The sequence below is a fragment of the Homo sapiens genome, chromosome 11 (assembly GCF_000001405.40).
Source record: "Homo sapiens chromosome 11, GRCh38.p14 Primary Assembly".
Taxonomy (NCBI): domain Eukaryota; kingdom Metazoa; phylum Chordata; class Mammalia; order Primates; family Hominidae; genus Homo; species Homo sapiens.
The window spans coordinates 114,315,506-114,329,822 of NC_000011.10; positions in this window are offsets into that span (position 1 = coordinate 114,315,506).

Consider the following 14,317-nt stretch of genomic DNA (forward strand, 5'->3'; position numbering starts at 1 on the left):
AATGAATAGAGAATAAACTAGAAAACAGAATCTCAGATATTAGCACTGCATGTGGTATATTATTTTGGGAAATTTCGTTTCCATTTTACAGACATCTGTCTATCTGCACACATGTGCATATTTGTTACTGGATCATGATATAACATGCATTTGTTACTCTAGTTTGTGATTTTTAAAACGTTTGAAAGCCACTGGGCTGTTCTTTGGGCTCTGGGACTCTGCTCTGATAACCAACATTTTTCTTTCCCACGGAGATGAAAGACATAGCCCCTGTTCTTAAAGAACTGCAAGTCATGGGGAGAAATCGACATGCAAACAGTTAAGACACAGCAAGACAAGGGCTCTGAGATGTGTAAGCACAGGGTGCTAAGGGGGAGGATGGGAAGAAAGGTGGCATTTGCTCTGGGCCTTGCAGACTGAATAGGGGTGTGTTTGGCAACCGAGAGGAAAAGGGCAGTCTAGGGAACAACGTGTACGAAGACATGAAATGACTCCTCCTCCTGGTAGCAGCCTCCTCACAGGTCTGTTCTCCGACGGAAGCCGGGACCTAAGTAAATATTTGGCTTCTGGTTTTTCATTTGCTTTCCTTGAAATCAAACAGACCGACCAAGTCATGAGCAAACAAGGACTAGGGTCATTCTGGTCCTAACTTGTAAATCTCTTTGACCGCTGACCCAGCTCCGGTTTTTTAAGGTCCTACTTTCTGGGGAAATGTTCAACAGTCTCACTTTAAGCAAACCTTTGTGATGCAGGAAGCTGCAAGTCTCTCTGTAACATCCTGGGGAGAGAGTGGGGAGAAGAAAGCTATTAAAAAGGTCGTTAACCCATTTGGTGTCATGCAGCTCAGTCTTCGTGATTCCCATCATCTGGCTGTCAAAAGTAATAAAAGATGTCCATGGTACAACTTACTAGGCTGAGCTTTAAAAGCTATAACTGCCCCCTCTAATTTTAGTCTCAGCCAACTCGGAGAATACGAGGCAACCAATAAATCTTATGGAGGCTCAGAGAACATGGAACAAACATAGGACTAAGGGACAGAAAACATGTGTGAATCTTAGCTTGATCACTTGATTGTTGTAAGAGCATCATTCCAGCTTTCTCAGGCTTGGGACCCTTCTGGAAAACAGGGATAATCATCATTTCTCAGGACTGCACTGAGATCAAGTGAGGTACCTGTGAAGGCATTTTGTAACCTGTTAAGTGACAAATATTAGATAACTCTGATAGTATTAACCCATTCTAGGACAGCCATTAAGCCACATGTTGCTGCATTCATGAACAGTTCCTTAGTAAGAAAATAAATCATTCTACCAAAAAGACATATGCACCCACATGTTCATCACAGCACTACTCACAGTAGCAAGAGATGGAATCCAGTAGGCACCTATCAATGGTGGATCGGATAAAGGAAATGTGGTACATTTATACCATGGAATACTATATGGCCATAAAAAATGAAATCATGTCCTTTGCACCAACATGGATGCAGCTGGAGGTCATTCTCCTCAGTGCAGTAGCCAGAAACAGAAAGCCAAATACCACATGTTCTCATGTATAAGTAGAAGCTAAACATGGGGTCAACATGGACACAAAGATGGGAACAATAGACAGTGGGGACTACAAAAGGGGGGACGAGGGAGAGGGGCAAAGGTTGAAAAACTACCTATTGTACTGTGATCACTACCCGGGTGATGGGTTCAATCACACCCCAAACCTCAGCATCACACGATATATCCATTTAAAAAGCCTGCACATATATCCCCTGAATCTAAAATTAAAATTGAAAGAAAAAAAAATCTTAACACTGAAAAAACTTTCTTAATGAACTGAGTATGGCCTTCAAAACCTGTCTTGCATATGCTTTCTATGCAAGTCAGCACCATAGGCACCTTGAATCCAGAGCCTTCTTCATAGTTGCTTATTCATTCAGAAGATGTTTCTTGCATCCCTGTTATGTGCTAGGCATTGGGCCTGAGATGAGGATCCTACAGTGAAGATGACGCAGTCTCTGGCCTCGTGGGACTTATTTTCCTGCAAGGAAGACCAGAAAGAAATGCACTCTGACACAGCCTGAGCAGAAATGCTAGATTTTTTTTTTGGTACTCAAGTCAGCTAGGCAGGACCTTTTGCCCACCCAAATGAGACAAACCAGGCCCTTCTTACAGCTGTACCTTCTCATGTATAGATCAGCTTCACTCAAAAAAAAATGTTGAGCTAGGATTATGTGTTTAAGGAACATTATCACAAAGAAAAACACCATTGTGAGTAAAGTCACTGAAGCTTTCTGTTTCATATCTTCCAATGAAAGCAGGGATTTAAACTTTCTGAGTCTAGCCCTCTCGTCTCCCTTGCTGGCCAGTTTCACACTGAAAGGAGATGCTTTCCTTGGCCTTTCAAACGCTTTCCTTGGCCCTCTGAGCGCCAGCAGAGGGTGCACGTGGCTCTTGTTGAAGCCCTTCATTCCTGAATTTGACCATTTACACATGAAGGAATTTAAATTGAGTTAAACCTTCCCAAACAAGACGCTTCTCTGCAGTGTCTCCTTTTTCACAGTCTACTTATGAGGCTGCTAGGAAAAGAGAAAGAGGAATTCAGCATATTTTTCTTTAACAAAAAATATGGATAATTATTTTTATGGATACACACATTTAAAAATTTCCCTTTTAGGTCTATACACAAAATGCAAATTTTAATAAACTGTAAAGAGGATCTTGGCCAGAATAGCATGAGAAATGATAACTATTAGATTATGCAGTTAACTCACCATCACCTTCTATTTGCTGTTTATTCAAAGAAGAGAAAGAAGGTTTTTGTGCTTTTTCAAACCCTAGTTTTTTAATATTTAGAAAATGAAGAAGTCTTTCTATGGCTGTGGTTGCCGGCCAAACCTCTATGCTTATCACTTTAATTTGTACTTTAATAGTGTCTGATGAATTCAGGGGAAGGGTTGAGGTTGAATTTCAAACTCTCAACAACTAATTGTGAGTTATTATTGCCTTTGTTTGGACTTCAATATTGAAAGCCAGGAAGTAGTTTCTTTCCTGGTAGGTTATTGTCTCTCTTCCTTTCAGAGAAAAGCTTTTGAATGTTTAAACAGAAGAGGAGTTAAAGAATTGTAAACACCAGTTAGGCTGCTCTTCAGAAAGATCTGTAATAGCGACCAGGTGCAGTGGCTCACCCGTGTAATCCCAGCACTTTGGGAGGCCGTGGTGGGTGGATCATTTGAGGTCAGGTGTTGGAGACCAGCCTGACCAACATGGTGAAACCCTGTCTCTACTAAAAATACAAAAAAATTAGCTGGGCGTGGTGGTGCATGCCTGTTATCCCAGCTACTTGGGAGGCTGAGGCAGGAAAACTGCTTGAACCCAGGAGATGGAGGTTGCAGCGAGCCAAGATCACACCACTGTACTCCAGCCTGGGAGACAGAGCAAGACTCTGTCTCAAAAGGAAAAAAAAAAAAAGCATCAGTAATAACAACTCACTTTGAAGCCTTCCACCTAAGCGACTGGTATTTTTCTTAAGAGCAGGTATGTAAACACTTCATTTGCATGAGGAGGAGAAAGAGGTTTCTAGAAAGGGGAGGGTAAGCAGTTAGTTTATTGCTCCTTTACCTCTCAAGGGTCCATTTCTGGCCCCTTCTCACTGCTGTCTAATATTTGTTAAATGCTATAGAAATCCCAGTCGTTGGTCAGGCACAGTGGCTCAGCACTTTGGGAAGCCATGGCAGGAGGATCACTTGAATCCAGGAGTTCGAGACCAGCCTGGGCAACAGAGCAAGAACCCGTCTCTACAAAAATATTTAAAAAAAAAAAAAAAGAAAGAAACCTCATTTGTTTAATATGACCTTTGCCCTTGCAGAATTTATAATCTTGCTTGTGAGTTAACATTTACAAAATTACCAATCAAATCCTTTTATTTTAGAGGTGAAGATATGGAGACTCTAAGGGGGCAAGGAGCTTTGCCTTTCTGTGCCTTAGTCTACTGTAAATTGAAAAGTTGAATTACATATCTGTGAAGTCCAGTGTTTTATGATTTATGAATTAGAGAACAATGCTTGTTAAAATAGAGTTCTAACTAAAGGACCACTTGGGTTAATCCCATCCTTTAAGATTCAAGTGAAATTGGCTCAAACCCCGTCCTTCATACAGCCCATAATTTCCTCTCGTCTTGCAGGGAACTGTCGGGGGCAGTGATTTGTATTTCTCCTGGTGACCCCTGGAGTGGACCTTCCACTCGGTCTGTGTTCCAGTGTGTGAATCACTCACTCCTAGCATGGGCTGATTCTTCTCTGCAGCACATGACCCCTAACCAGACCCATCCTGATCCCTTCATTTGCTAAAATTCCCCTGGCCCTCAAATATATAAGTAGCAGCCTTTGCTAAAGCCTCAAGACAACAGAAGGGGTTCATGCTTAGGACCCTATCAACTTAAAATACTTGGCATCCTTGCTGTTAATCTCATGGGGAATTTCTCAGTGACTCAACTTCTTCAGTTGACCCTGGCCATGTTGCTCTGGCATCTGTCCTCCCTTCTCTGGTCCCCAGCCCACTCCTCTTGGGCTGTTTGCCTCCCCTCCTGAATTCCTGTACTGATCTCTTATTTCACTTGCTTCTTCAAGTCGAGACCACACCCCTGGGGCTTCACTTCCTTGAAGCCTTCAAGGTGTTTTCTTTGAAAGGAACTTAAGTGCCCGTATTTAAAATTAGAAATTTCTCCCCCTTTACCTAATCAAGGGCTCGGGCTCTGAGCTTGCTAGCCTCCAAGGCAAAGAGGAGAAGTATCGGTTACAAGCTTCACTGTTCATCAGTGCAAAACAATGCTGTTCAATGCAAGCACGACTTTCCCCTGAAAACTCACTCACAGTTCATGATGATAGGGGCATAGTGTGTGTATCACTCTCTCCTACCTGCCTCTACTGTGCTGTACCTGGCTTCGCTCAGTTACTGATTGTAACTTCATGTTTCCCAAGTCTGAATCCTTTAGAAGAGCATTATGAAATCCTGTATGCAAAAAGCATTTATTGAGTGCCAGAAATGAGTCCGACTGTTATATAGAGAGGAACCCAAGACAGATGTGGTCCCTGACTTCCTGGAGCCCACAGTTAAGATGGGCCCAGATAAGCTCTAATATGGAATGCCACGTAGATGCAAAAACACAGGAGAGTCGAGTCTAGTCATGAAAGGTTGGCAAAGGTGTCCTGGAGGAGGCGGTGTCTAAAATGAATAAGATTTATCTGAGAAAAAGGGAAGAAAGCAAGTTCTAGACAGAGAGAAGAGCATGTACGGGAATGCCCAGCGGTGAGAGGGATGGTACACAGGATTGGTGACCCTCATAGATGCTGCGGTGCTACACCTGGGCCCCCTTCTCCAGGTCAGCACACCCAGCCCCCAGCTGCTCCAAGTGGAGTGTTGCTGCTCACAGCTCACAGCTCACAGCTGCTCCTTCTCAGGAGAACTGCTCTTAGCTAATCAGAGCCACCTCCTCAATAAATGTACTCAATACATGTTTTTTTGCATGCAGGATTTCACAGTGCTCTTCTAAAGGATTTAAACTTGAAAAACATCAAGTAACAGTCAGTAATTGAGCAAAGCCAAGTACAGCAGAGTAGAGGCAGGTAGGTGAGAGTGATAGACACAGTAAGTTACAGGCACCGTCCCCTCCCTCACCCATAGCCATGACTGACTGATAGGGGGATTCAAAAGCCTTGTCCCCCTCCTGCACTGGGGGACATTCATCAATGCAGTTTCTGTTTCTGCACCTCTTCCCTTGTGGATCGGGCCAAGATTGGACTTTTCCTGAGACCACATCCCTGATTGGCTCCTTCTCCCTCTCTAACCAGTTCTCCCTAAAGAGCACTCCCTCAATGAATTACATGTTCCCAAATCCCTATCTTGGACTCTGGAGCAGCTGTGAGCTGTGAGCTGTGAGTAGCAACACTCCACTTGGAACCCTGGCTGAGACAATGACAAAGGAAAAAAGTTGAGATTGAAGTTTGGACCCATGCACTAGGTCCAAATTTGAGCCCCAACCATGAACAGGTTAAGGCTTTACTAACTTAAATTACGACCATTTTCAGTGAAAATTCTTACGTGATGCATCCATTTAAATTGGATTATTAGGAATACAGTAAATTAAACTTAACTCTGACTTACTCCAGCCTCCTAAATTGTAAATAAGGACTCCAAGGCCCAATAAATCATGACATTCAGGTAAAACCTCAGTCTCTTTACAAAGAGGGAATAGTAATCCATGTTCTCTCTGCTTTATCAGTGTACAGCTAGCATAAAACGTTCCCCAAGAGACGACTGGGCACGGTGCCACATGCCTGTAGTCCCAGAAGTTTGGGAGGCTGAAGCAGGAGGATCGCTTGAGCCCAAGAGTTTGAAACCAGCCCAGGCTGTTAACAGGGTGCGACCCCATCTCTAAGAAAAAGAGAGAGAGAGAGGATCTAATGTTCTTTGACCTTCTGGGATATGAGGACAGAAATGCCCTGAATCACAACTTCCAAAATTCCAAATTCTGGAAATGCAAACTCCTCATACCAAGTAAAAATAGTCCACTCTCTGGTGCTGATTCACTCTCTTATGAGTCTGACTTGCATAAGTGAGTAACCAGACCAGCCACAGATGTAATAAAAAGTCATGTTTCTTAACCTACAAGACCAGACGCTGAAATAAGACACTGATGTTTTCTGAGACTTAACCTGCACTAGTCAAATGTTTTCATCCCTCTCTTTAATTTCCTAGAGATCAGGGTAAATGACCTCCCATAGCGGGGCATGATGGGAGCTGGAACTTGAAGGGTGACTAGAAATAACTCCAGTAAGACCCACTGGGAGGCAAAGAAGCAGAACGCCTCCCCACAAATGCAAGGTGCTTTTTAGTTCCTTGCTCCCAGGCAGTAAGTATAATCCATGAATTAAAGATAATTAGTGTCCTTTTAGAAAATGCAACTGTAATTGTAGACATTTAAGTGTACTTTGTGCATTTGAGAAGAATTGATTGTTTCACAGTTCAAAAAAGACCCTGCTGGCTGGAGGGCAAACTCAGCACCCTTAGCAACTTTATAATCATTAGAAGAGTGGGGCTCGAGGAAACCTGGATCTCAGGGAACAGTACAGTCCCCATAGTGGAGAATGGAACATTTAACCTTTAACATAATGGAAAACCCCACTAATTCCTAGGCTAGGGGAGCTAAATTCCCAATTCTCCCGAGGTGAACTTGTTTGTTTCCCTCTGTTTGGGCTCAGAGGCACCTACTAAGTGTCAGGCACTAAGTACTAGGGAGAGAAACAGTAAATTGGACACACGTGGTTCCTGCCCTTTCCAAGTTTATGGTCGATTGCCAAGTGCTAGGGACTGTTTGTGTCCCTCCAAATTCATATATATTCATAAATTCATAACCCTATTACCTCCCAAAGTCTCCCCTTCTAGTCCCCAGTGTGATGGTATTAGGGGGTGGGGACTTTGGGAGGTAACTGGGTTATGAAGGTGGGGCCCACATAAATGCGATTAGTGCTCTTACAGAAGGAGACACAGGAGCTTGCTCTTGTGCTCAGCTCTGTGCCATGTGAGGACATATGGGGAAGAGGGTCATCTGCAAACCAGGAAGAGGACTTTCGACAGGCACCAGATCTGCTGGGACCTTGATCTCAGACTTCCCAGGCTCCAGAACTCTAAGAAATAACTCTGTGGTTTAAACCACACAGTCTATGGTGTTATATTAGAGCAGCTGGAACTGACTACCACAGCAAAGATGGACAATAAAATCAAGCAAAACAATTCAGTATGAAAAGGGTCATATAGAAACACATGTAGGTATGATTTCCTGGAGAAAGCGAGTTTCAAGCTGAGAACTAGAGGATGAAGAATTAGCAAGGTGCATGTTGCAGGTAAGGGTTGGGAGAGGGGGATCTATATTCCAGACAAAATGCAACAAAGACTTGGGGACAAGAGAGAGCATGGCTCATTTGAAGACACGAAGGAAGTTCCATGTGGCTGGTCTACAGAGGCTAGTGAGGAGATGACTGGCTACAGGTGGACTAAAGAGAGAAACAAAAGCTGAGTGAGAAAGACTGAAGCTGTTTGTACTTAATTCCAAGCACAATGAAAGGCCCTTGAAGGTGGTTAAGGAGAGATGTAACAAATTCTGGCCTTGAGAAACAGAGACCTCTATTGTCCTTCAATAGTTTCAGGGAGGGAACACATAGCTTCTTTGGGTTGCTTATTCTAACGGTTAACTGAAAGAAAATGTTTTTTAAAAAACATTTTTTTAAACTTTTATTTTAGGTTCAGTGGTATATGTGCAGGTTTGTTATTTAGGTAAACCCATGTCATAGGGATTTGTTGTACAGATTATTTCATCACCTTAGTAATAAGCCTGGTACCCAATAGTTATTTTTTCTGATGTGCAGGTTTATTATTTAGGTAAACTCATGTCACAAGGATTTGTTGTGCAGATTATTTTGTTACCCAAGTACTAAGCCTAGTACTAAATAGTTATTTTTTTCTGGCCAGGTACGGTGGCTTATGCCTGTAATCCCAGCACTTTGGGAGGCTGAGGCAGGTGGGTCACTTGAGGTCAAGAGTTTGAGACCAGCCTGACCAACATGGTGAAACCCTGTCTCTAGTAAAAATACAAAAATTAGTTCTGTGTGGTGGCGCATGCCTGTAATTCCAGCTAATTGGGAGGCTGAGGCAGGAGAATCTCTTGAACCCGGGAGGCGGAGGTTGCAGTGAGCTGAAATCGCTCCATTGCACTCAGCCTGGGTGACAAGAGCAAAACTTGGTCTCTAAAGAAAAAAAAAGTTATTTTTTCTGATCCTCTCCCTCCTCCCACCCTCCACCTTCAAGTAGGCCCCAGTGTGTGTTGTTCCTCTCATTGTGTCCATGTGTTCTCATCATTTAACTCCCACTTATAAGTGAGAACTTGCGGTATTTGGTTTTCTGTTCTTGTGTTAGCTTGTTAAGGATAATGTTCTCCAGCTCCTTCCATGTTCGTGCAAGGGATATGATCTTATTCTTTTTTATGACTGCATAGTATTCCATGGTATATATGTACCATGTTTTCTTTATCCAATTTGTCATTGATGGGCATTTAGGTTGGTTCCCTGTCTTTGCTATTGTGAATACTGCTGCAATGAACATTCTCATGCATGTCTTTATGGTAGAATGATTTATATTCCTTTGGGTATATACCTAGTAATGGAATTTCTGGGTCAAGCAGTATTTCTGTTTTTAGCTCTTTGAGGAATTGTCACACTGCCTTCTACAATGGCTGAACTAATTTACACTCCCACCAACAGTGCATAAGCATCCCGTTTTCTTTGCAACCTCGCCAGCATCTGTTATTTTTTGACTTTTTAGTAATAGCTATTCTGACTGGTGTGAGATGGTATCTCATTGTGGTTTCGACTTGCATTTCTTTAATGATTGATAACATTGAGCTTTTTTTTTTCATATGCTTGTTGACTGCATGTCTGTCTTCTTTTGAAAAGTGTCTGTTCGTGTCCTGAAAGAAAATGTTTAACATGGACACAGAAAGGGGAGCAACACACACCAGGGCCTGTTGGGGGGTGGGAGGGTGTGGGGAGGGAACTTAGAGGATGGGTCAATAGGTGCAGCAAACCACCATGGCACACGTATATATACCTATGTAACAAACCTCCACGTTCTGCGCATGTATGCTCATTTTTTTTTTAGAAGAAATAAAGAAAAAAAAGAAAATGTTTAGTTTTACCTAAGCCTTTTGCTTCCTGGCCACATTTGCTCATTCCATACTCCTGCCTGTAAGCCTTTGGTGACTCTCCGTGGCACATGGGATCAAGTTCAGACCCCTTAGCATGGCATCCAGGGCCTGTCTCAATGGCCCCACCTACTTCTGCCCCTCACTCTCAGCCCTCATTCATACATGCCTGACACTTAGAATGTGTTCAGTAAATACTTGTTAAATGAAAGAACCATGGGCTGTCTTTGGGCATCTATCTCAGTGGTTGACAAATGTGCCCCCCAGGCCTTCGGGCTTTGCACATGTCACCCCCGTCCTGGATCCACCAGGAAGGTAAACGGTCAAAACCATTGTATGGGAGGAAGGATTTTCTGTTTACAGATGAAACAAGTAAGGTGTGTACTTAGCCTTGGCAAATGAATTTTTCTACTTGGACCTAACTGCCTGAGGCAGTGGCAGAGGCACTGCAGGGCCTTGGTGGAGGCTCCCCAGCAGCAGAGGGACAAGGCTGGCACCCGGAGGGGACCCAGCCCTAGCCTTGGGGTCCTTTGCCAAGTCAATTCAGAAGTCCCTCTGCTGAGAAGTCCCTGCCTCTGGCAGAGCTGATAGACCCTCGTGTGGGTTCTTTCCATGTATAATTGTTTCTTGTTATTGTGGTCATTACATTCTATAAAATAATCACAATACTGAATTAGTAAATATGGATCCGCTGCTCCTAGGAAAATTGCAGGGTCAGTTTCCTGCCAGCTTCTGGTTACATTTTCATCAACTGACCAATGCATAACTTTGTTTTCTGTTTTAAAAACACCTTATTTACTATATATTGTTATTCATTGATTTTGAACTCTTGGCCAACAGCATTATGACTTACCCTGCATGACGCTTGTCTAACACGCATATTTTCCCTCTAAGGCACATCACAGCCATCTTGTGCTTAGGAACAGAAGACAGCACTTCACTATGCTTTGGGGTCATTTTAAACAGTGAAACAACCAATCAAAAGCACAAAAATTAAAAACAAACAAACAAAAAAACATGGCACCAAACAGACCATGAAAGGGACATTTGTTTATAGTATGAGAACTGAAACAGAAAGACAGAGCATTGCCTTGTTCGACCTCAGCTGAGAATATGCGTGCTGGGCAACTCAGATGTTTCACCACTCCACATGCCCATAGGTGACCACAACCGTGATGCAAGTGTCGATTTGGAGGTTACAAATTTTAGTAAGCAGGCAGATCAGCAAATCCAGAGTCCATGAATAATGAAAATTGACTGTATTTCTATTATAACATTTATTACCCTGAATGACAGTTGGTAATTTATGTCTTCTTCCACCAGAGTCTGGTGACTACAGTGTGGGGTCCTTGAGGAGTTGGCATACAACAAGAAATAATGCCAACAGCAGATGAACATGGAGATCTTACCATGCAGTTTTCCACATGCAATTTTCTCATTCAGTGCTCACAAGAATTCTCTGAATTATGTGCTGTTATTATTACTCCTGCTTTATGGATGGAGAAACCAAGGCTTAGCAGTGATATCATGAAACTTGCCTATAGTAACATAGCTAGTAGTGGTAGCAAGATTTTCACATAGCCTAGAAGTCCACATGCTTAATTGCTGTGTTATTCTGCCTGTGGATTTAAGCCCTTTTGGAGAAATGTTTAGAAAAAAAAACCACAAGACCTCAGCATAATGGACCAATCAACCACTGAGAGTGACAATTGGCCCAACTGGTGAGAGAGGAAGGAGGAGTGGCTTCTAGGAGGAGGCAGAGTTGATGGCAAGACCTCTTATGCATATCCCCTAGAGGACTGAATTTCCTCATTAGTTTGAAAAGGCGAATGGTCAAAGCGATTGTGAGGAAGGAGGGATTTTCTGTTTGTGGGTAAAACAAGGAAGGTTGGTACTTGGGCTTGGCAAGTGAATTGTCCAAATTGGACCTACGTGCAGGGCATGGCAGAGGCACTGCAGAGCCTTGGCAGAGGCTCCCCAGCAGTAGAGTGACAAGGCTGGGACCCAGGGAGGACCCAGACTTGGCTTTGGGGTGTGAGAGCCTTTCAGGTAGCAGCCTGGTATCTGGTGATGTCAGGAAGAGTACCATTGTGCCTCAACCACCCAGGATCTAGAAGGTCCTGTGTAGCATGAGAGAATTCTCTATAGGGAATACACCTCAATCATCATTCCTCACATTCTTTGAGGTCAATGTTGGGTACTTGGAAAAGGCCAAAGCTCTAGCCATTGAGTTTTCTACCATTATCCTGCTGACAGTGTGCCCGGGCTGCTCAACCTGGAGGAAATGGCTGTGTGCTCAGGGAATGAATGTGCATAAAAAGAAATATCACCTTAGGTACAAGGACATCCATAATTCCTCCGACCAGAGAGCTCCTTCCCGCTCCTAGGGAACTGAGAATCAAAGCCCTCTTTGTGGCCTAGATATTTTGATTCTGAACAAAACTGCACTTGGTTCTCAAAAAACACTGTCGCCATTCACATCTTGAGCTGCTTACAATCCTCACCTGAGTCCTTCAAATGGTCACAGGAGATTAGGGGAGCCAGCTTAGAATGTCTGTGGCTGGAAGGAGACTCTAGAATGTCTCCAGTGAGAGCCATTTCCATACTTCAGAGCAACTTGTCAGATCTTTCCAGAAACAGAAAGGCCAACATCTCTGGAGAAGGTACGACTGCTGCCTATATACAAATTCTCTTTCTGCCAGAGGGAATGCTTGCCATTTGTCTCAATCCCCCCATGCAAGATGAATAAAGAACCAGCTCTGCACACTTTTCCCTCCTGGCCTACCTGCCTGGCATTGCTCCGATTATTTCATCTGAAAAACCAACCTCCTTCCCCACCCTCAGAACTTCTAAAGTAACTTACCCTCCCCAAGGGCCATTCCTCCACTCCCTCCATGTTCCAAGGATGCAGCTAAGGAGAATTACAGTCTTAGTACAGCCCAGCACGGCTGGTAACATTTTCACCATTTAACAAATTCTCCCTTGACCACGATTTATATCATGCAGGTGTCATCTAATTTCTCCAAGGCCTTGTGGCCATTTGTACAACAAGAATGGATCTGATCAAAATGATGAAGTGGCTGAAATTTGTCTCCATTAACCCCACACCACCCAGTGCTCTTCCTTCTTTAGGTACTGACTGCTTGTGAGCGGCTGCAGGCTGCTCATTCTCCTTCCTCACGCAGCAATAGGCTTCTTTTCCAATCATGGAGACTGTGTGCCTGGGACTTTCACTATTAGGAAACAGTGTATGAATATGTAACCCAAGTAAAACTAGGCTCTCTTGTGGCCAATATTACTTTCAAATGAAATAAAAATCTGAATCCAAAAGCATTGAAAGGTAACACTGGTTTTTTCTGAGGTGTCATGAGGCAGTAATGTGTCATGTTGTACAACTCAGAGAAAGATTTCCTAAGCATTCACTTTTTAGGCCAGATGCAGTGGCTCACACCTGTAATTCCAGCACTTTGGGAGGCCAGGGTGGGAGGATTGCTTGAGCCCAGGAGTTCAAGACCAGCTGGAGCAACATACCAAGACTTTATCTCTAAAAATAAATTCACTTTTAAAATCTCTCTGCAGTCCCATTCCTCACAACAGAAGATTTTTTTTTCTGTCTTTAAAACTTTTCTTCCCCAAGTACCTGACTGTCTCTGACTCCTCATGGCCCAGCCACCCTACACCTAACCCCTTTTCCTGCCTCTTAGATATTCTTCCCACCATAGCCCTATACTCTGTCCCATTTTTTGGCTCATTTCTCTCCATTTTTCTTTTTCAGTTTTGCATTTTATGCATTTTTCTACTTGTCTCAATAAAAGCCTGGTCATAGAGCAATAGCAAGAGAAGTTCTGAGCTGGTAAGGAAGGCAGGATGTCATGAATAAGAGAAATGAATCACAGCAATGGTGCTACCTGGCTAAGATGCTTCTTCTCTTGTGTGTGTACTTAGGAGAGGTATGCAAAATGCTTTGTCCAAGTCAAAATCCAGGGATCCTTAGAGCTGTGCTGGTATTTCTGATAGGTGAGTGGGACAGAGATTTGTTTTTAGAAAAACCTTTTTCAGGAATGAATTAATGGCATTTGCAGCAACCTGGATGGGATTGGAGGCTATTATTCTAAGTCAAGTAACTCAGGAATGGAAAACCAAACATCACATGTTCTCACTCATAAGTGGGAGCTAAGCTATGAGGATGCAAAGACATTAAAATGATACAGTGGACTTAAGGGACTCAGGGCAAAAGGGTGGGAAGGGGGTGAGGGATAAAAGACCTGAAACTGGGTTCAGTGTATACTGCTTGGGTGATGCGTGCACCAAATTCTCACAAATCACCCCTAAAGAACTTATTCATGTAACCAAATACCACTTGTTCCCCCCAAAAACTATGGAAATAGAAAATTTAGAAACAAAAACAAAAATAAAAATATTTTCCTGTGGACAGACACAGTGACTCACGCCTGTAATCCCAGCACTTTGAGAGGCCAAGGCAGGTGGATCACTTGAGGTCAGGAGTTCAAAACCAGCCTCGCCAACATGGTGAAACCCTGTCTCTACTAAAAATACAAAAATTAGCTGGGCC